The sequence below is a fragment of the Homo sapiens genome, chromosome 2, assembly GCF_000001405.40.
Source record: "Homo sapiens chromosome 2, GRCh38.p14 Primary Assembly".
Classification (NCBI taxonomy): domain Eukaryota; kingdom Metazoa; phylum Chordata; class Mammalia; order Primates; family Hominidae; genus Homo; species Homo sapiens.
In genome coordinates this window covers 66,418,960-66,438,613 of record NC_000002.12, presented here as the reverse complement: position 1 = coordinate 66,438,613, position 19,654 = coordinate 66,418,960, and the positions used below count along the sequence as shown (strand labels likewise).

At 42.8% G+C, this 19,654-nt stretch overlaps 1 protein-coding gene and 1 long non-coding RNA gene across 2 annotated transcripts in view, besides 11 other annotated features; one reads left to right on the top strand and one right to left on the bottom strand.

The window, feature by feature from the left end:
• MEIS1 (Meis homeobox 1) overlaps positions 1–3,489 on the bottom strand; it is a 138,745-nt gene extending 135,256 nt beyond the window's left edge. The window contains exons 1-2 of the mRNA NM_002398.3: positions 2,746–3,489; positions 651–877 (exon numbers count right to left, since the gene is read on the bottom strand). Of these exons, the coding sequence (NP_002389.1) occupies positions 651–877; positions 2,746–2,757 (239 nt within the window). The 5' untranslated portion in view covers positions 2,758–3,489. The remainder of the gene's footprint in view (positions 1–650; positions 878–2,745) is intronic.
• Positions 2,760–3,560: a DNaseI hypersensitive site, noted in NCBI's record as "promoter DH site; the nucleotide coordinates are approximate for this feature". NCBI's record gives the evidence for it as "EXISTENCE:in vivo cleavage assay evidence [ECO:0001075][PMID:20600580, PMID:24097337]".
• Positions 2,760–5,315: a biological region, named in NCBI's record as "MEIS1 5' regulatory region". NCBI's record gives its function as "regulatory_interactions: HHC2:067347 | LOC111258520 | MEIS1".
• Positions 3,191–3,731: a promoter, noted in NCBI's record as "-500 promoter fragment". NCBI's record gives the evidence for it as "EXISTENCE:reporter gene assay evidence [ECO:0000049][PMID:20600580]".
• Positions 3,217–4,093: an enhancer, noted in NCBI's record as "HHc2:066543". NCBI's record gives its function as "enhancer in forebrain, hindbrain, otic vesicle" and the evidence as "EXISTENCE:transgenic organism evidence [ECO:0001131][PMID:22448256]".
• Positions 3,490–3,510: a protein binding site, noted in NCBI's record as "PU.1 site". NCBI's record gives the evidence for it as "EXISTENCE:protein binding evidence [ECO:0000024][PMID:26622774]".
• Positions 3,491–3,520: a protein binding site, noted in NCBI's record as "ETS site". NCBI's record gives its function as "positive regulation of promoter activity" and the evidence as "EXISTENCE:protein binding evidence [ECO:0000024][PMID:20600580]".
• Positions 3,491–3,520: a protein binding site, noted in NCBI's record as "ETS site". NCBI's record gives the evidence for it as "EXISTENCE:protein binding evidence [ECO:0000024][PMID:20600580]".
• Positions 3,530–3,629: an enhancer, noted in NCBI's record as "active region_15940". NCBI's record gives its function as "activates an Ori minimal core promoter by ATAC-STARR-seq in GM12878 lymphoblastoid cells {active_cell/tissue: GM12878}" and the evidence as "EXISTENCE:reporter gene assay evidence [ECO:0000049][PMID:35858748]".
• Positions 4,338–4,437: a silencer, noted in NCBI's record as "silent region_11585". NCBI's record gives its function as "represses an Ori minimal core promoter by ATAC-STARR-seq in GM12878 lymphoblastoid cells {active_cell/tissue: GM12878}" and the evidence as "EXISTENCE:reporter gene assay evidence [ECO:0000049][PMID:35858748]".
• Positions 4,867–5,267: a DNaseI hypersensitive site, noted in NCBI's record as "-2kb DH site; the nucleotide coordinates are approximate for this feature". NCBI's record gives the evidence for it as "EXISTENCE:in vivo cleavage assay evidence [ECO:0001075][PMID:20600580, PMID:24097337]".
• Positions 4,963–5,315: an enhancer, noted in NCBI's record as "-2kb E1 enhancer". NCBI's record gives its function as "enhancer in U937 cells" and the evidence as "EXISTENCE:reporter gene assay evidence [ECO:0000049][PMID:24097337]".
• Positions 5,144–15,272, top strand: MEIS1-AS3 (MEIS1 antisense RNA 3). The gene is made up of 4 exons (NR_046438.2): positions 5,144–5,323; positions 6,604–6,683; positions 6,776–6,794; positions 11,452–15,272. It is a non-coding gene; the product is annotated as an MEIS1 antisense RNA 3 (long non-coding RNA).
• Positions 15,273–19,654: the final 4,382 nt, after the last annotated feature.

Below are 19,654 nucleotides of genomic sequence, written 5' to 3'. Positions count from 1 at the left end.
TACTTATTTCTAAATCCTGCAGGTTTCGCCTTTGAGCACAAAGTGCTAAAACATCTAGAAGTTTCTTAATGTGTGTAACAATTCAGAGCAAGCTCCTCTCCTTGACTTCAGTGGTCAAACTCCCTAAATGCAAAACATGTTCCCCCTTGCTTGACCTGCAACTGTCCTGCTTTGGTTTTATTGTGCAGTGGCAGAGCCAGCATAAGGCTGCTGAGTAAACTCAGCAAGTCAGAACAATCAGTGGCTTAAAAGAGATTTTCCCTTAAACTAAAAGTTTCGTTACAACACAAAGGCGCCTGCATTTAGAAACCCCTAACGCTCTCGGGCGAAATCGAGCGAGGGAGGACTCCAGCCCGCTGAAGGAGTCTGAGAGGGGACAAGGGCCCTTTAGCCAGCTTCTTCTCATCTGGGACCCCCTTGCGGGCACTGCCATGGTGGAGCAGGGCACTGGATGTGCACAGAGTGTGTATGGGGATGTAGGGCTTCAGGGATGGCAGGCCACCTCCCCAAATTATCCATGAAATGTGAATGAAAAGTCACCAAAGATGTACCTCCAATCCAGAGAACTCTGACTTTCCTCTTACCAAGGGCACAGAGAAAGAGGGAAGCGTTGAGTCTCAACTACTTAACCTGCTGCCCATTGTACCTACCCATAAATGGCATCTTTATCTCTCTTTAAAGCGTCATTGACAGAGGAGCCCATGCTGGGGGCCATGGCGTTGGTATGAGCTGTGTGCGGGTACTGATGCGAGTGCAGAGGAGGCCCGTGGTTCAGGTGGTGGACCGGCTGCATGGACCTGGCTGCATGCGGGTCCCCATACATCGTGGAGGGGATGCCTACTCCATCCATGCCCCCGTAATGGGGTAGATCGTCGTACTGCATGACAAACAGGAGAGAAAGAAGGTTCAGGAGGCCAGGCGGGCAAATGGGAGAACGGCAAGGCACCGAGCTTATATAAGGTCAATACAGCTGGGTCCTTCCACCCGGAATTCGGTGGCCTTGCATCTATAAAGCTGAGTTTTTCTTATTTTAAAATTAAAGCTTTAAGTAAAAAATACAGAATTCTCAGCGAGACTCGTCTGGGATGAATGATCTTGCCCTAACTTGTGTCCCTATCAACTAGTTTAGAAATTCAGGCTCCTTTGGCAAGAAGGAAAGAAGAAAGAAAGAGAGAAAGAGAAGCATTCTCCCGAGGGTAGAAGGTGAAACGGGCATGTCTCTGGAGGAAGAAATTCAAAATCACAATAATAAAACGTGCCAGGACACTGCAGCAAACCCGCCTAGTTTCACAGCCCCTTCACATCAGGGGGAATTAAAAAAAAAAAAAAAAGTTACGATGGGAACAGCTACGCAAAGCACGTGAATTTAGACAGGCTTCTCATTTTATTTCCCTGCCAGCGTGAGGTTAGGCAGTCCTACAAGACACTGCATTTCTTTTGCTTTCCAAGACAAACTCTGCTAAATTATACAAAACTAACTGACCCCTTATAAGTGAAACTCAAAGGAGGGTAGCTTTTCCTGAACATCAGAGCTGAATTTAGAATTGGGCAATTCCCCACCCCCAAAGTTAAAGAAAATCTATAGTTGAAGCAGCTAATATTCTATTTTCTTATTTACTCTTATGAACTTTGTTTCCAGACTAGAAGTCAAGGAGGCAAATGTTACTCACCAGGTTTAAAGCAAATTCAAAAGCAAATGCACAACTTTCCATCTTCCTCTTCCAGAAAAAAAAAAAAAAAACTACTTTCATATTGATTGTCATTATTTTGTGTGTGTGAAATTTAGCTATTTAGGTTTTTCTAATTGGTTCATTCCAGGCAGTTATTTTCCCAAGATTTGGAGGCGCTGAGAGTGAAATGATTTTCAAAGAAAGGAGGAATTGCCACTTTCATCTCCTTAAAGCCAGAGGTGTGAAAAGAGTTTGGAAGAACGCTGACATTTGCCTGAACCAAAGGAGTAAAGAAAACTGTGTCAGCCTAGTAACTTTCTTTTGCAAACAGGGCTTTGAGGGCCAGGACACAAATTATGCAAGGAAGGCTTTTTGTAGACCCCCTTTCTTTTAAGAAACTACCTCAGTTGGGTTGTCATTGTCTCACTTTACTCTCACTGCATTTCCATTGAAAAAGGAATATGGGGAAATTAGTATTGCATTTTTAAAGTGAGTAACTGTGTGCTTAGTATTCAATTAGTAGAGGGCTTATCTAAGAGAAACTTGCAAAATATTGCCTTGTATACAAGTCTATACAAATTGAAATTACTATAAAAAGATGAATGTTTTCTGACCAAAAAATTGGCTATACTATGACAAAGTTATTTCCTTTAAAAAGCTGAATACTTCTAGTGATATTAAAGATGAGCATAATCAATAACATATCAGAAGTTTCCAGCTGCATATTTTAGTTTAAACATAACTTTAAACTTCTGATCTCTGAATGTTCAAATTACAGCTTTAGGTATCTAGCTTTTTTAAAAAAAAACCCAGATGATTGTTTGAGCTTGCATTTTTATTTATATAGCTGCTGGTTAGGAATCTATAGATAAATAGATTCCTTTAATTAACAACTCCAAGTAACATACATAAGTCTACAAATGCATTGAATAAATCCTCTCGCTTAGGCCACGGCTTTAGGAGCCTCATTTTTTAAAAGAGAGAGAGAAAAAAAGGAAACTTTTTAGCAGTGTCTTTCGGCCACGTTTCAATTTAATCTCACATTTGAGTTCCACAATTGTTTTTTAATACGTACCCTTTGCGCCATCGGCCTCTCTGGCTCCCTTCCTACTTCAACTTCTAATATATCCTCTTTAAGGCCAGTGTGAAAAGAAACAAATATTCAAACTCCCCCGGAAAAAAAAAAAAAAAAAAAAAAAAGCACGACGAAAAATCCCTTAACGTCTCCAGCAACGTGAGCTACTGGTCCCAGATCTTCGGTCTACGGGACCTGAAGCAAAGCGCCCGAGTCACTGAGCATAAAAGCGCTCCGTTTCCAAGACAGCAGCGGGGGCAAAAAAAAGCAGATCTTCTCTCCCCCAAAAATCAGTTTAAAAAAAAAAAAAGAAAGAAAGAAAGAAAAGGAAAAAAAAGAGCGCCCCTCAGACCCAACTACCAAATCTCATGGCTTTCTGCCACTCCAGCTGTCAATCACAGGCGAGGTTGTCAACGTGGTGAATGAATGATCATCCGCTCTGTCTTCTTCTGGTCAGAACACCTCAAATGTTAATATTCAAATGCACAAAGCCCTAGCGCTCGCTTCCCTTGAATCAGTCCTAATTCCTAATCAGTTTCTCTCTTCTCTCTCTCTCTTTCTTTCTCTCCCTCTCTCTCCCTCTTTGCAAGTGCTGCACTGGAAGGAGATTAGAGAAGGAGGGTTAAAAAAAATGTCTGTCTGAGTTTGTCTTAAAGGAGCCACGATCGATGCTGCCCGCTTGCAGTCCCCGTGCGTGTGTAAAGTGTGTGTTGCACAGGCGGAGAGGTGGATTCCGACCAGAATGCTAGAACCCGGAAGTAGTGGTGGCCATAACAGGTCGCGTCTTACACAATGCATTGGGCTGCAGCAAGTAGGCTCCTCGGCAGGGGTGGGTGCGCGAAGCGAGCTCTGGCCGCACTGGAGAGGCAGAGAGGCGCTCCATTAAATCGCACGCCCAGGCACAAACACCACACACCCAGGGCACACGCACACAAACGCAGGCAGTAGCCCGCGGCCGCCAGCTTTATTTTCAGTATTCTTTTCTCTCCCTCCCCCTGCAGACTCTCTCCCCAAAGCCGACTCTCTTGAAATAAATTGGGAATCAACGCCGGGCAGGCAGCAGCGGGAGTTATTTTGCACAGGGCTCCGCGCATAGACTTCATGACTTTCCTCGAAATTATTGGGGTCTGCCAGTGTTTTTCGGGGCAGGGGGTGATGCGCAAAGTACTGAATTCTCAGAACTAAACACTGCAAGGAGAAAAGTCAAAGCGGGATCGTGGAGGAAAAGGAGGGAGAAGCCAGGTTGGGAAAGCCTCTGCTAAGGAGTCCTGAGAACATGGGGTTGAGGTGGCTCGGGCTTTCTGCAGACCCAGCTTAGAGGTTTCTTTGCTGTTAGAGGTGGACGCCCGGCCGGGGGAAAGAAAATGCTAGCATTTTGTCACTTCGGGTCTGGACTCCCCCACCTCCTAGCCCCGGCGGCTCCCAGCCCCAGCCCAGGCGTCCTGCGCGAAGTAGAGAGGAAGGGAGGGAACAATGAGCTGAGCGCGGGGAATGTGCCCCCAGCGCCTGTTTACAAACACCAAGCTATTTATGATCGTCGGAAAGCGAAACCCGGCGCGGGCTCGCAGCAGCCCAGACCTCGCGGGCGGAGCCGGGGCCGGGGAGCCGCTGGGAGGGAGGCTCTTTCTCCGACCCGCTCGGGGTGAGGCGGCCGTGCGCCCAGGGCGCGGCGCGGCGCGGCGCGACGCTGCCGGAGTGCTAGGCTCCGGCTGCAGCCACCGCTGCCTTTGTCTTAGAGGCGCCGAGGGGCTCCAGCCTCGACCTCTCCCGGGCCTGTAAGAACCTCGCGCCCCACTAGCTCTTTCTCCAGCGAAGCCCTGCCCTCACCACCCCAGACATCCTTCCCCGCGCTCCTCTTTCCCGTCCCCAACCCGGCTCGGCGAAACCTCCCAGTGCCAGAGAAAAAGAAATCCGCTTCGGAAGCTGAGATTTCAGACAAAAGCTGCCTGTACCTACAACTCGGAGGCTCCAACCAACCACTGTTTTTTGTTTTGTTTTGTTTTTAACTTTAACACCTATTGCCTGGGCTTTAATTCCCCCTCACCCCTTCTCTTTATTCTCCCGCTCTAAGCTTCTCCCTTGTGATTATATTTAGTGGCGTTATTTTCGTATTTATATTTCTGTCCGCTGGGCTCTGATCTGCCGAGATGGCTCAGCCGCAGCAGCTCTACCAGTGGCTGGAAACCTCACATCCACAAGCAGGGCTCGCAGCTCGCTCGGCTCCGAGAGGATTTTTCCCCCTCCCTCCAGCTGAAACCTCGCAGAAAACTCCCCCTGCGGTCGACTGGAAAATGAGCTCACCCAAATCTCGGTAGGCAGCCGTGGAGGAGTGCTCGGCCAATCAGGAGGCGCCCCCGCCCAGGCCGCCGCGCATTGGCTGCGGGGAAAATCAATTATCAAATAATCGATCAGCAGGGAGCTTCGATCTGCGGGGAATGCGAACTGCCAGTCCCTATTCCCGCCCTGAAGGTGGCCAAAAGGCTGACTCCCTCCAAGCAGCCCGCCCGCGCCTCCATCGCCCCCACCCACGTCCCACTCGCCAGCTGCGGACTGAACCCTCACCCTCAAGGGGGTGTAGGTAGGGAAAGAGTTTTGAGCAAGATTGGGGGTATCCCTTCATCCGAAGATTGTTTGGGAAAGGTTAGGAGCTCTAAAATGTATTGAAGCCAACTCTTAAGCGCAAAGTAAAAGATAATTTGCGTCCGTCTGCGAGGTAGGACTGAAGATTCTATAGAGTGGGCTTCCGAGGAGCAGGAGACACAGGGCGAGCATGAGAACATAGGTCTGGAATGAGGTTCCACCGAGCGTCCGTAGTCTCCTTAGGCGACATCTATCGCTTCCTTTAGCACTTCGCAGGAGTCAACGCGGGGTTGGTTGCCCCCAACAGTGGAGCGTTTCCATAAAGCCGAGCAGATGAGCCTTCCCAGCCGCCTGCACTGCACCCTTCCCCGCCCCCAACTCCGTACTGGCACCCTGTGTGCCTGAAGGGCTGACACACGTTCTCCCAAAACCTTCAGAAGCGCTTTGCCTTGAAAGAGCTCTCCCTCGTGTGTGTGTGTGTGTGTGTGTGTGTGTGTGTGTGTGTGTGTGTGTGTGTGTGTTTAAACCATCTCCAGGATCCCTTATCATTTGCTTCCTCTCTCCTTTTTCTCTCTGTTTCTCCCTGTCTTTTTTCTGACGCTTAAGTTTCAGGATCTTTTAGTTTTTTTCCATCACATACATGTGTAGGTTTTCTGGTACAAACGCCCTGAAACATCACTTGGGAGGTTAAGACAGGCCCGCGAGTAAAAGCTGGGGACGGAGTGGGTGGGCAGCCAGGTGCATTACCAGCGCCTTTATGCCTCTGCCTACACTTCCCGGCCTCCCCCCATCCCCCCACCCCCCCACCCCACGCCTCACCGTCGCTCCCCGGCCCCACAACATGAACTTGGAAGCAGAATTTCAGGCCAAGATGGAACCTCCCCGTCTCAGGAAGGCGATTTCTGTTTAATCCTTGGGAGGCTGCGCTGGCTGGGCCAGGCAGCACGCTCCTTTTCCGATTAGGGAAAGGACTAAGCTGGGCCGGCAGTCTGCGACCCCTTCCCGGAACCCCAGCCGACTTCGGGGTATACCTGAGCGCCTTCCGATGGCTGCTCGCGGGGGTGTGATCATCGTCCCCGCATCAGGCCCGCCAGGCATCTGCGCGACTCGGGGGTAGGAGGGAGATGCGTGGGTGGGAGGTGGGGGTCAAACCAAACACCGACAGGGCACACCTACGTTTATGATCCTTAAATGAACTGCGAGGGAAATTGTGTAAGTATAATTTAACTGAGAGAAATTTATTGCGAAATACGCTTAGAGGACTGTGGTCTTTAACAGCCTCAGGGGTTCTTCGGCAAAGAGGTAACGGGGCTTGGATTTACCACAACTCTGCGGCCACGTTTTCAAATTTGGAAAAGGTCAGTATATATATATATATATATATTTGACAACAGGATTTATTTTGTATTGTTGCTTTCCGGTAATCTTTTTCTTTTGTTTTCTAGCACAGATGAGAAAAGAAGGTTCAGGTAAGTCACCCTTTGCAAACATAACCAAAATCTTCAAAGCAGGAGGAAGACTAGACGACTGCATGCTTTAACCATGATGTGCCAGATTACCTTAAAAATGTACTTTAAATTACCTACACACAAATTTTCCTTAAAGAATGAGATAGTTTGAGTTTGCGGACTTAAAATCAACTCAGTAGTTTTGAAAAGTGCCCCTCCCCCCCCCCACAGTCTTTCCATTTTAAACTGTGAACCTAATATAACTTCTAGGCCTTTATACAATTAATTCTGAACAATCAAGGGACTAAACACTTTTACAATGTAATTACAGTAGTACAAATTGTTTGCCCAAACCTCATTCTGGATAAGGATTTTACAATTAGCAAACAGTTATTACAGTTGGGGCTTGCTGAGAGAAATTGCACAGAGGATGTCTAGAGTTGCAATATAGTAGCCATAAAAAAAAAAAAAACTCCTTTAGCAGGGCAGCAATTAATCATCTATTAAAAGGAAACAAATGAAGGGACAGGTCTAGGTATCTTAGTAAACTACTGTCAATATTTATGCCCATTTTTTGACAGCCCCTATTCCTAACTTATTTCAGATACTTGCTTTTTTAAGGCAATAGCACTTTTATTTTGCAAAAACTTGGCCTGGTGAAAACTTCTGGCACTTGGCCCTAGCTCTTGCGATTCAGGCCTTCCGTTCTCTTCTCATCCTTCTTATCTCAGAGCATCTTTCCAGAGATAGAGAACGGTGACAAAAGGAGGCAGACTGGGCCCTTGGTCTCTATTGTTTACACCCTCCTGTATGGAGGCATTTCAAGCCCTCAGTGCTCCTCTGAGCTGCTGGTAAAGTCGTCTCGGAGAACTCCCCTGACTTTATGTTCTATAAGGAATTGTGCTTCTGGAAAGATCTATATCCTAAATTAGGCTTTTGTCCCAAAAGGTCACACTGATGAGTCAGCTCCAAAACCCTTAGAAACTAAAGAGGCACCTCTTAAGGTAAAACGTGTGTGTATTTGCCAGCCCAGAATAAACAAAAGCCTGTTAATCAATCGAGTTTGGCAGCTGTGTTCACAAAATGATAAGGGTTTATCATTTGCCACCAAACTTTAAGATGTCCCTTAAAATGCTGTGATTGGTTTTTAGGTTGTCCTGTGGTGTGGAGGCTTGGCGTTTGTATTTCAAAAACATTCATCCTCTGCATCTCTCCCCCTCACTAGCATTGACATTTCAAAAAAACAGAAATAAGAGGAGGGAGGGAAAGATAGTTTAAAGAAAATAGATTCGAAATCTAGTACAGATAATAGAGGAATGCTGGAGATAAGAGCCTGGAGGTGATATGAGAAAGGCACCAAGAAGTCAAAGCTAATGAATGGCTGTGAGAAAAGTGAAATAAACTATTGAGAGATCTATTAAAGGGGGAAACCTGGTTAGGTGATATCAAAGGGGGTTAACTGAGAGGATTAGGGAGGATGTTAATCAAGTGCTCTAAAGCATTACAGGCTATAAGGACTGAAAGATTTGTTTACTGCATTTTGCTTCAGAAAACAAAGAATGTCTGGGTCCAGTTCAGAAGTCAATTAGAGGTCAGCTTAGGCTCTCCAAGGGTTGCAGGGAAAATACCTAAGTTACTATATTCTGACTGGATGATGCAAAAATTAGGGAAAAAAAATGGGGGGTGAGAGGGAGGTGCTTTCCTTACTATTCTATTTCAAATCATTAAAATGCTTTGGTCTCTAGGGGGGAAAAAACTACACTGGTTAACATAATTACTAGCTCTGACATTTTCAGAAGTTATAGAGGTCTTTTATTAATTAAATGGAGGGCTTAATAAAGTATTCCTAATAAAATTTATGGTTGTCTTAAAACTTTCTAAACAGTGCTATAAATTCTTAATAAAATTAACTGGGAAATGAGTTATTAGCCCACACTTTACCCTCCCCCCCAAACTGCTACATAAGGAGTGTCTGCAGAATGAAAAGGAAATAGAAGCCTTTTAGTAAAATATAAATATTAGCCAAAGTCATGCATTGCTCTGAAAGAGGCAAAGTCCCAACTGTTGTTTCTACTGGCCTCATTCTCCAATATCCCCCAAAAGCTATCCCACAAAACTTCATCAAGAGAATTTATTCCCCTTCCCAAGTACCTATTATATATGCATTTATGTGTAAGTGCATTTGAAATACAACCTTCAATTTTGTGGACTGAGTTGTATGTTAAATGTAGTAAAAAACATAGATGCATCATGCAAAGTTCCGCTATAGAATCTTCAAGTCTCACGGTGCAAATACTTTCTTTATTTTTAATTAAAAATAAAATGCCCTGTAATTTCTCTCACTTTAATTTCTATAAAGATAACTTTTAAATGATAAATTTCTAAATAACATTTTTCTCTGAAGTTATTTAAAAGTGTATTTTCTGAAGCAACATTTTGTTGACATATGCAAAACCTTTTTATATCATTACGTTTCAAAACTTTTAGTGAGTTATCTTAAGTTTTCAGGTACTTCACTGCTTCACAGATACAATGCTGGCTGGTTAGCTATTTTAAAGAAGATCACACACATACACTTCAAACCACAGCAGCCTTGGTGAATTGTTTAGCATTTGAAGGCTTGATCTTTTGTGCCGTCTACTGGACAATAGAAAAACTGCAGCCTTGATGACAAACTTTAATCTTGTTTTACGGGGGTGGGAGGTGGTGGTTGGGGGTATGATTTGGTGCTGGTAACTAACAAGAGAAAACCACAGTACCCAACTTAGACTCATAGGACAGGTCTTGGGGTCTAACCATGTTTTTCAAATCCAAAGATAGGATATGATATCAATCATAGGTGTATAGCTCAAACACTTGATTAAGGCACAAGGCTAAAACCTACATTGAATACAGCTGTGCATGTGTGTGTACCCATATGCCTAAACTTGGGAAGACAGCCTGGGAAAAGAAAGGAAGATAGGACAGATTCAACAACTCTGAAAACAAAAACAAAAACAAAAAACAAAAAACAGTAGTGGTTGCTTGACACTGAGGATGAATTTGCTTGACAGTCAAGTTAAATCTATCTACTGCCTCGATAATCTAGCATGTACAAATCAGTTCTTGGAATTTGGAAAGTGACATTGGTAATCAAGAAAAAAAACCCTTTAGGAGAGGGGAAATGACACTGGTAATTATAAAAGTTTTAGTGCAGTTCCCTTTTGGCAATTTGGGATGAAAATGTAAAACTTCAGTGTTTTCACTTGGAGAGCACAAGTGTTAGAAAGTGTGGGTGAAATTCACAGTCAGACAACTTCATATGGCAGAGACCATTTGATGTTCTCTTAAACATTAAGAAACATTGTGCACATTTTGGTTGTGATTTAAAAAAGAAAACATTTATAGATCTCTAGCATTGTGGAAGCTTTGTAAAAAAAAAAAAAAAAAAGCATGAAGCTAACTTTGACCTCTGTTCGACAGTGACAGTTTCTGAAGTAATCACTGTTACCATAGAGAAGTGATTTTGTGATTTAAGAAACAAATAAGCCCAATGCCCCCCAAATATATATCTGTATATGTATCTATGTGTGTATAGACACACACACACACACATACACATACATGGAGAAGTCAAGCTGATTTTGTCCAAGAGACATAGACTTTGGTGCAAGCACTTTTAAAATTGTTCATGTGCTTTTCTGAAGTTAAAACTCCTTATCGCATTTTAATAAAACTTGCCAGCACTTGACTAGGTATTAGGGCGTCTTTTAATAAAAACCTAATAGTGAAAAGGAGACAGCTTTAGGACATTTTATTGTGCATAAATATATTTCAATGATCTACTTCAATATACATTTCGATGTGGCACTATGTCAGAATGACTTTAAAATATTGGATTAAATATAGATACATCAAGAGAATCTGAACTGACATTGGCTACTTAAAGCAGCGAGATTGCTTGCACTGCTGTATTAGAGCCTCAGTTGTTCTATATAAATGGAGGTGTTGGTGGTGGGTGTCTTTTAAACTTTAGTATAAACCACTGAACTGTGAAAGGTTATTATTTTATGAGATGCTGTTTGGAGTCATTTTTTGAGATGCTGTTTGGTCTAGATCAGAAAACCAACCAAAAAGAAAAAAAAATCCTCATAACAATAGCTTGAAAATGTAGAAAATTCTTCCAGGAACTAATCACAAGTGCATACACGTTTGATATATTCTAAACTAATAGTTGAAGTACTGAGTGCTGGAAGAGGTCTGGCGAACGTGCTCTAGTCACTAATAGCAAACATTTACCTTTGAAGCAACAGGATGAGTCACACTGGCCATGCTTAGCATCCATGTTCGACTGGATAAAGGGGCATATTTTGTGAAAACCTTCAGGCAAAAATCTTACTGATTATTCAAAAATAAATATTTTAACATTTCATTGAGCTATCTAATGAATAAGGAAAACATCGAAGGCTTCCTGCGGCGCAGAAAGAATTCTAGCAGCGTCAAAAACATAAAGGAGCAAAGAACAAGAGGAAGCTGAAGGACGCCTGCTGAGTAGTTATTCACTTGTGAATATCTGAAAACGTGCTTTTCTGTGCCCTTATTTAAAAATGAAAAACAAATATCATCTTTCTTTGTCCTTTTAAAAAAATTAACGTCAGAATATGGCTATGCTAGCTAAACATCATTTTTTTTTTTCCAGGCGATTTATGCGAGAAAGGGCCAATTTGAACACTGGTAACTAGTGGGAGAAATAAACTTATAAGCCACAAACACATCGGTTCGCAACCGAGCCCACAGCCCCGCGAGGCGCCCCTTCTTCCCAGCTCCCGGAGGATAACTTCATTGACTGGCAGGTCGGCGGCCACTTCTGGGAGGGCCACTGTTTACCGAATGAGAACCTCTCATGGCACAGTCCTTACAGCAGGGCTGCCCTGTCGCCCTTGCGCGTCCGGGTGCCGGGTCCCGGCGGTGTTCTGCAGCGCGATCCGGTCCCCGTGCCCTGAGCCACCCAGAGCCCTGGGCCTGCCTGCACCCTGGGGCGCGCTGACTCCCTGGGTCGGGTGGGGGTCCCGGCAGGATGCACTTCCAGCTGCGGGGTCCGCGGAGTTTGCTCGCACCTGGTTTGGCGCAGGGACGTAGGTTTGGGGGACTGTGTCCCCTGGGAAGAGCAAAAGGTGAAAAGGTCCCCTCTCCCACCAGTGTGCCCCATCCCCGCCAGTTTTGACTGCGATCCTATTTTTCTCTTTGGGGGTCGCCTCAGCCTGTGCCGGAGGGAGTTGGGAGTTGGTCAGGCTTGGGCAGCGGTGGGTGGCAGCCCGGGAGCCGGAGCAGGAGCGCGAGGACCCGCGGACTGGGGCGCAGCGACGATGGCGCACCGGCTTCTGTCTTCTGCTGCTTTGGGGCTGAGCATCCGAGGGCGCCTTTCTCCCCAGCTGGACTCGGGGACGCCGGATCACCCCGCCACCTGCCTCTTGGCCTAATTCTGGAAGCTTCTCGCCTCCGTTCCTGGACGGCTCTTCCTCAGGGGCAGCAATGAGCCCCGGGGTGCGCTCATCTCCTCCGAGATCAATTGCTCTACGATTCCTTTTAGGACTTGCAGGGGGGAGAGGTTGGGGACCCCGGCCCCAGAGTGGCTCCTGCGGCACGGCGGCCCACTCGGAGGGGTCGCAACAAGCGCGCATTTGTGGCCAAGGTTGTGATTTCAGGTGCGCTAATGGGATCAGACGTCCTGGGAGAAGCGTGAGGGGATTGGTGCCGTTCCTTCTCCCGGCTTCCAGCGGCCGCCGGGTGGAAGTGGGGACACAGGAGGGCCGCGCTACGGGCGCCCAGCGCGGGCGCTCACACCTCTTGAGGAGGCGTGGAACCCAGCGCCCCAGGTGGGGGTAGGGCGCGGGGGTATAGGTAGTGAGGGGTGACGCTGGGAGAGGACCGGGAGACGGAGGAAAGGAGACAGCCGGGGACACTACTGAGAGAGGGAGTAAGAGAGTGCGCTGCAGAACCGGGGACAGAGCGGCAGAACCGACCGAGAGCTGGAATTGGATTGCGTCCTGTCCCAGCACCAGGACACAGATAAACAGCCTCCCAGCACTGGTACTCGCCAGAGAAGGGGAAACCCGCGTCCCGCGCTGCTGCTTTCTGCTTCGGAGAACCTTATCTAGACTTTTGCATAATTGCGTGTTGGCTTTCCTAAATAATTCGGAAGAGCGATTTCTGCTTCCACTTGTTCACATAGGCAAACAATCCCTGTGGGGAAAATGTGTGTGTGTGTGTGTGTGTGTGCGCGCGCGCGCGCGCGCGTTCCGGTGACAATTGAGGCCAGAGGCAAACACATCCTCTTTCAAAATGTCCCTTAGGTGATCCCGTAAATGACTGTCCTGCTCTAGGCAGTGGGAGTCATCATCCACTGGGTAGGGGGCTGTGATTACTCTGCCTAGGGACCACTTTTCACAGCTCCTTCCCCACCGTAGATAAGGGTGTTAAATCAAGGCATTTAGTTCTACTTTTCCATTGCACAGATAAGCAAGCTGAGACCCAGATAGGTTAAGTGAAGTATCCAATTTCTTCTCTCCTTTTCTTTTCTGTATGCCTCAAGATGGTTTTATACACACACACACACACACACATACATACACACACACACACACCCTGAACTACGAAAAACATCACAACTACGGAAGAAACATTTTTTACTCTTCTTATTTCCTAAGAAGACCAAAAGTCAGAGCTTGTCTTCTGTCAGAAGCAGATGGGTGTGTGATGGCAGTGTGTGAGTGTGCAAGTGTGGGGGGGCTGGGCGTTGGCGCCATCCTTCCTCCTTCCCTGCTCCATCCCTGACTCCATCACCGAGCCCCTTCAGGGAAACACAAGGCAGGAGGTTGTACCGCTATGCAGAAGACCCCTCCAGGTAGGGAGCTTGAAGAAATGAAACAGCAGGGAGAACCTGTATTTGGTGGTGAAAGTGCTGGAATCTTCTAGGCCTTGCTCATCTCCAACCAGCTACTTCTCCAAAATAAAGCAAAACAAAACAAAACAAAACAAGGCAAACAACAACCACCACAGGCCTTTTGCATCAACTTCCTGTGACTAAGTGACCCTAAGCAGAGAACTGGCTCAGGTCACTTAGGGCAGGGGTAGGACATTGAAGGCCTTATTTACTCCAGGATTAAAAACAGCATCCCCTCTAACCCTGTCTCTCTTGGGCAGCCTGTCTTTTAAGGATGTGAAAAGCAGCTTCTTGGAGTCTAAACAGGCACAATACCCCACTGGGATGTTTAGGTATCAGGTTCACAAAAACAGCATTTTACTCCTGCTTCCCCGAACCCCTTTGCAACCCAGGCTACCATACTCTTTGCAAGAATATCCGGTATCTTTTCCGGGCAAAATGAATTGAGTTGGCACTTCCTGAAATATTTTTATTTTTAGCTTCAAATAATTTTGCTCCTAAAACAAATTAGTTACTTATCCTCTTCTCACCATGCCCTAATTATTTTTAGCTTTATTCTAATTTTTTTTGTTACCTTGAATTTTGTCTTGATTTGAGAGTTTGGTATAGAATACTTGTTTGCAGACTGGTAATCTGCAGTTTATTTTGTTTTTAAAAAACTCTGTGAAGTTTACTGTTGTTTTAAAACTCATGGAATATTAACAAAAAATAACCTAATAATATTCTTCGAGGCTTAAACTTTGGTTATAGTCTATGTCCTAGCCTAGCTTTTATGATAAGCCTGTTGCATTTTAAAGGTGCTTATTGATTCACATGTCTTTCAGTAAAAAATCTTTTGAGGAACCCAGACTTTTGAAAGCTATTTAATTTGCATGTATTTGGTCATTACAGGCTAAAACTGAAGAATGAGTTTGGAAATTGGTTCTATTAGAAAACACTGTTTGCACATCCAAATGTTCCCAGTCAAGATTTCCCAATAGTGGCAGTGAGAAAGAGAGGCAGAGAGAATTAGGATACTTGGGTTCAAATTTTAGCTTAGTCACTGATGGGCTGATTGAGTGAGAAGAACTTAATCACCTGCAAAATGAATTGCTTACAGTATTTTGATCTCTAAATACACTTTTGATTCTGATATTTAATGATTTTGTATTACAAAATTGGGCAGAAAACGCATAGCTTCATAACAAGCAAAAAATTTTACTGTTAACACATCATACTTATTTTAGAGTAAATTTGAAGGAGGTTGATGTTTTGGAATTTGGTTGGAGAGTTATCCAAAAGCAATGTTTCCCTGACTCAACTACAACCAATTACACACAGTGGCCAGTAGGAAAAGGATTAAGTTGTCCAGACAAAATATAATGGTAACAAAAAATAATCTTGTGCTTTTGACATCTTTCTGTTTACTTGTTTTTGTCTTGTTCTAATGCCCCCTGAATTACTATTTTCTAAAAAACAGTCTCATCTAAAATAAAACATAGTAATGTGTTTTCAAATGAGACATTTTATTGTAGTTACGATTTCTTTTGTATATTTTCCTAATGCAGACTACAATAAATACACTAAAATATTTCAAATGGTTTGCTTGTGTATATGCTCTTAAGTCGTCTTTATCCCACTTTGGGAAGCATATGCTGTGTTCTGAACAGTTTTAACTTTATATATCAGCATGACTAAGTCCTTTCAACAACTATCACGCAAAGACCACGGAGAGCAGAACTATTCAGGATATCAAGAAATGAACACTAATGAATAGGAAACAATGAACCCTAATTTTAGGAAGAAATTAGTTTTGCAATTCAGCATTGTCATTTAAAGTGGAATTGTGTCTCGTAAAACTTCTGTAACTGCCATACTTGTTGCTATCAGTAAATTCTATGAAGTCTCTATTTTACACGACAGCATTTTGAAATGTAATTGCTACAGTTTTAGATATTTCTAAGGCCTGAATTTATTATAACAGGCAATTTTTGAAAAATATACCAGATTCAATTAAAAAATGGCAATAATTTCTCATAAAAACCTTCAAAACATTGAAATCTGTGTTTTATATTCCAGGGAATAAAAACATAAAAACTTTACTTTGGACTTAAAAAAAAAATTCATTCACTCTCAATTCCCCGCTTCTTTGAGATCCTCCCGACAGGGAAATTGTCAGAAGAATTCCTTAATACCTTCAGGCACTGTAAACTCCACATATGGATCTTTAAGTCTGAAAATGACAACTTAGATTTTCGTTGAAAGATATACCTGAAAGAACTAAAGTAAACAGAAAGATGTCAAAAGCACAGGATTTTTTTTGGTACCATTAAATTTTGTCTGGATATTTGTTGGTGTTTTAGAAGTTAAAACACTTAGTCCCGTCTCCACTGGCCAGACAACAAAAGTTGTCTAACTTTTGGAGGCACTTTCCCTACTGCCTAAGCATGCTAAGGCATTGCTTAGCATGACCAGGATGCTTAAGAACTTGAAATTCACAAAGTTGAAAATAGAGAGTTATGGCTCTTTTAATAACTGTCACTTTATCCTGATTCTCAGTCAATATCCAAGCACAATGTAGAGTGTGGATGAACTTCAAATGCTCTGGAACCAGCTACTGCTTTGAAGGTCAAACTCAGTCATATTTAAAATTTCAGCAATATCACACTACTGGCAATTGTTGGCTCAATGAGACCAACTGCTCTCCTGACCTGGTAAGAACCAAGTGCCCACAGCCGCTTTCCTGACTTATGATTCTGTATCTGGTAGCTACCTTTTTTCTCCTTGAGTATTTAACGCTCTTTAATTTTGCACTTTTGCATTTCTTTGACAGTTGGCTAGCATCCTTTAAAAATTCTAGCCTAATTTAGACCAAAAAGTACTATATATTTTTGGATATTCTTAACCCGTTAGGTGCTTAGGGCTTATTTGTTCAGGAGTTCAACCAATAAGCCTTCCTCAGTGCTTTTAGCTTTTTACTCCAGGAAGGAATTAGTTTGAATTGCTCCAAAATTGTCTTCTTTTTATTTTCTCTTTCCTTTCCTATGAGTCTGTAATTTAGTTCTGCTGACACAGTTGATTAACCCCATACTGGGGAGTTGATTAAAAACACTTTCTAAAAATGTATACTCCTATTGCTGGTATTAGTCAGCATTTTTTTTGGCCTATCACTTTTTAAGTTTCAGTTTATCAAAATCTTTCCACTCCAATAATTCTAAATGGGCACACTTTAAAAGCTACATACCTAGTTCTTTTTAATATAGGCTATTCTTACGGCACTCTCTCTAATGTACCTCCTATATTAGAATCATTCCAGGGAGCAGCAAGTGGTCTTAAAGACATCTATAAAGCCATATATGAGCCAGGAGCTGATGTGAACAATAATCACAAATCTATGAGCCAAGTTTGTTCTTCTCTTTGTGCTTAGGGGACCATTCAGTTGTGCGACAGATTCCCTCTTGAAGAACACTTCCTCAAAAAAATTCTTAACCATTGTCATAGACTGAAGGAAGCTGCTCGGGGTCATTACGTACTTTGTACTCTCCAGTTAACCTAGACACCAAAGCCATTCCCACCATCCTACTTCTGTCTTCTTGGAAACTTTCAAGAAGACGTGAGCTTTAAAGACTGTTTCAGAGTTTACATGCCTCTTTCATTGTCACTGACATTTTTCGGATCGTGATTAAAAAGGCCAGTCTGTTGCAAATTTCATAAATTAGTCTTTTCTCTCTGTTCTGCTGTCAGGTTGCCCTTCTCACTAATGTCACCACATGTCACTGCTGCCCTAGCCAATCTCAATTTGACTGAAAGGGTTTGACTAACTTTTGGGTCCTGTTTCCTATAATTGGTAACTTTGCCAACTTTTTGGTTTTACACTGTTTCACTCAGAATATTATTATTCAGGCAAAGTTAATTTTCTGTTCTAAACAAGTCTTTGATACTCAGGGATATGATTGAGAATTCAATTTTTGTCTTTAACAAAACATCACAGTTTGCAAAACATCCCCCTTCCCCTCTTCAGGTCTACTATCTTAGTTTACTCCTCCAAACCCTGTAAGAACATACCATCAGCCCTATTTCACAGATGAGGGCCACACAATTGTTTAGAATCAAAGACTGTGTACCGGAACTCAGCCTCCTGAGTCCTGTTTTCAATTTGGAAAAAATCTCTCTGTAACTGTATCATTGTATTAAGTAAACATTTGGAGGGTTATGAGAAAAAAAATGAGAAAATACTTATTTTTGCTTAATTTTTTTAGTTCTTTTCTCTTTCTTTCCTTAAGATCTACTATAAGATTAAAAATATTTAAACTTCTCCAGAAACTTCCACTTATATCCCGAGAAAGTTTCACTGTTGTCATTGTCCAGGTACTTTGAACTGATTATCCATATTCAATGTGAAATGTTTGCTTCTCTGTATTTCAAGGGCATTTTTGTGGTGCAAATAATGTTCATTTTTCAAAGAGCACACTCAAAATTATACATATGACACAAAGCCATTGTATAGATTGATTATAGTTCTTTTATTCTACAAACATGTTTGTTTTGTCCTTATAGTTGATATGTCTTTTTGCATTTTAAAAACTATAATATAGACACAAATCAATTTATGACATTTTATAACATGGTTTTCAAGAAGACAGTGATTCAAACTTTGTATTTAAAAAGAGAGAAGAAAACTGCTTTCAGGAAATATTAGTTAACCGGCAGGAGTCCTTTTCAAAGTGCAGTTACCATGGGATTGAGAACTATTTGCTAATTATAACAGTGCACTAATTATGCGCTTTTATATTTCATCTTTCTATCTTTCTGTCTAAATTCACTTCTAATTATATGGTACATTTTGCATGTGACATATCTAAAAGTATTGCTTTTATCAGATATGAATTATTTTCCTTGGAAATATTAAAGACATAGTTTTACTTCCAAAATATTTTCTCCTGCAATATAGTGAAATCATTTGATTGTGGGTTGAATAACCCGTCATGTGGTGGGCGGGGGCGGGGGAGGAGGCAAGGTGAAAGGATCAAGATTTAAATATTAGATATTTTGTGTCTTCTAAAAGAGAATAGCAAAAATGATTAGCCTTGTCATAGTTTCTATGTTTAAAAGGCAATTTAGCAGATATAGCCACATTGCCCGTTCTTCGTCGTTATCATCATCGTCATCATATTTTTATTACTTTAAAGAATTCCTGAAATTATGGAAAAGGTATTTTAAACATAGTGGAATAAAGGAAAGGTCACTGGGTCATCAGAACCTATCTTTGTGTGGCTAATTTGTCAACTGAATTGTGTAGAAGGAAGCTTAACAACAACAACAACAAATGTTCAATTTCTATGTTTTGATTTCCTCTGGGCTTGTTGAGCAAAGAGAAATCGGAATTCACTTTCTGTGTAAAGATAGCGAGTCTTGCTCACCTTCCCAAAGCAGGAGGTTTGGCCAGGAGGAGCACTTGTAGAATTGAGGGTCTACAACTTCTTTGAGAGGTTTTGAGGCTTTTGTCCCAAACACAGACTCACGTGACAGCTACTAGTCTGACTAATTTGTAGATATACAACTTTCTGTAACTCCACTCCTGATCATACTTTATTGATTATGAACTTTAATGCAAGCATATTCATTTTAATGTTTATTTGTTTTTAAAGAAAGCTTAGAGAATAATTTATAAGCTTTTAAAGAAACATCTGATAGAGTAGTTGAAGCTTCTGCAAATACAAACAAAATCTGCTCTGCAGTATTTAAGGCATATATAGATATGTGGATCAAGCAATTTTAGATCTCAGGCTCTGGGAAGGCTAGAGGAGGTGGGGAGGGCTAGATGAAGCAAAAGAGGAGATGCTGATTGAGAGCTTCTTCTATGCCAGGCACTGGAATAGAAGTTTTGATACACATTATTTCATTTTGGTAGCATCCAAGTCTATTGAGGTTGCTATAACAATGAAATTAGAACTTTAGAATTTGATATCTTTTTTTATGT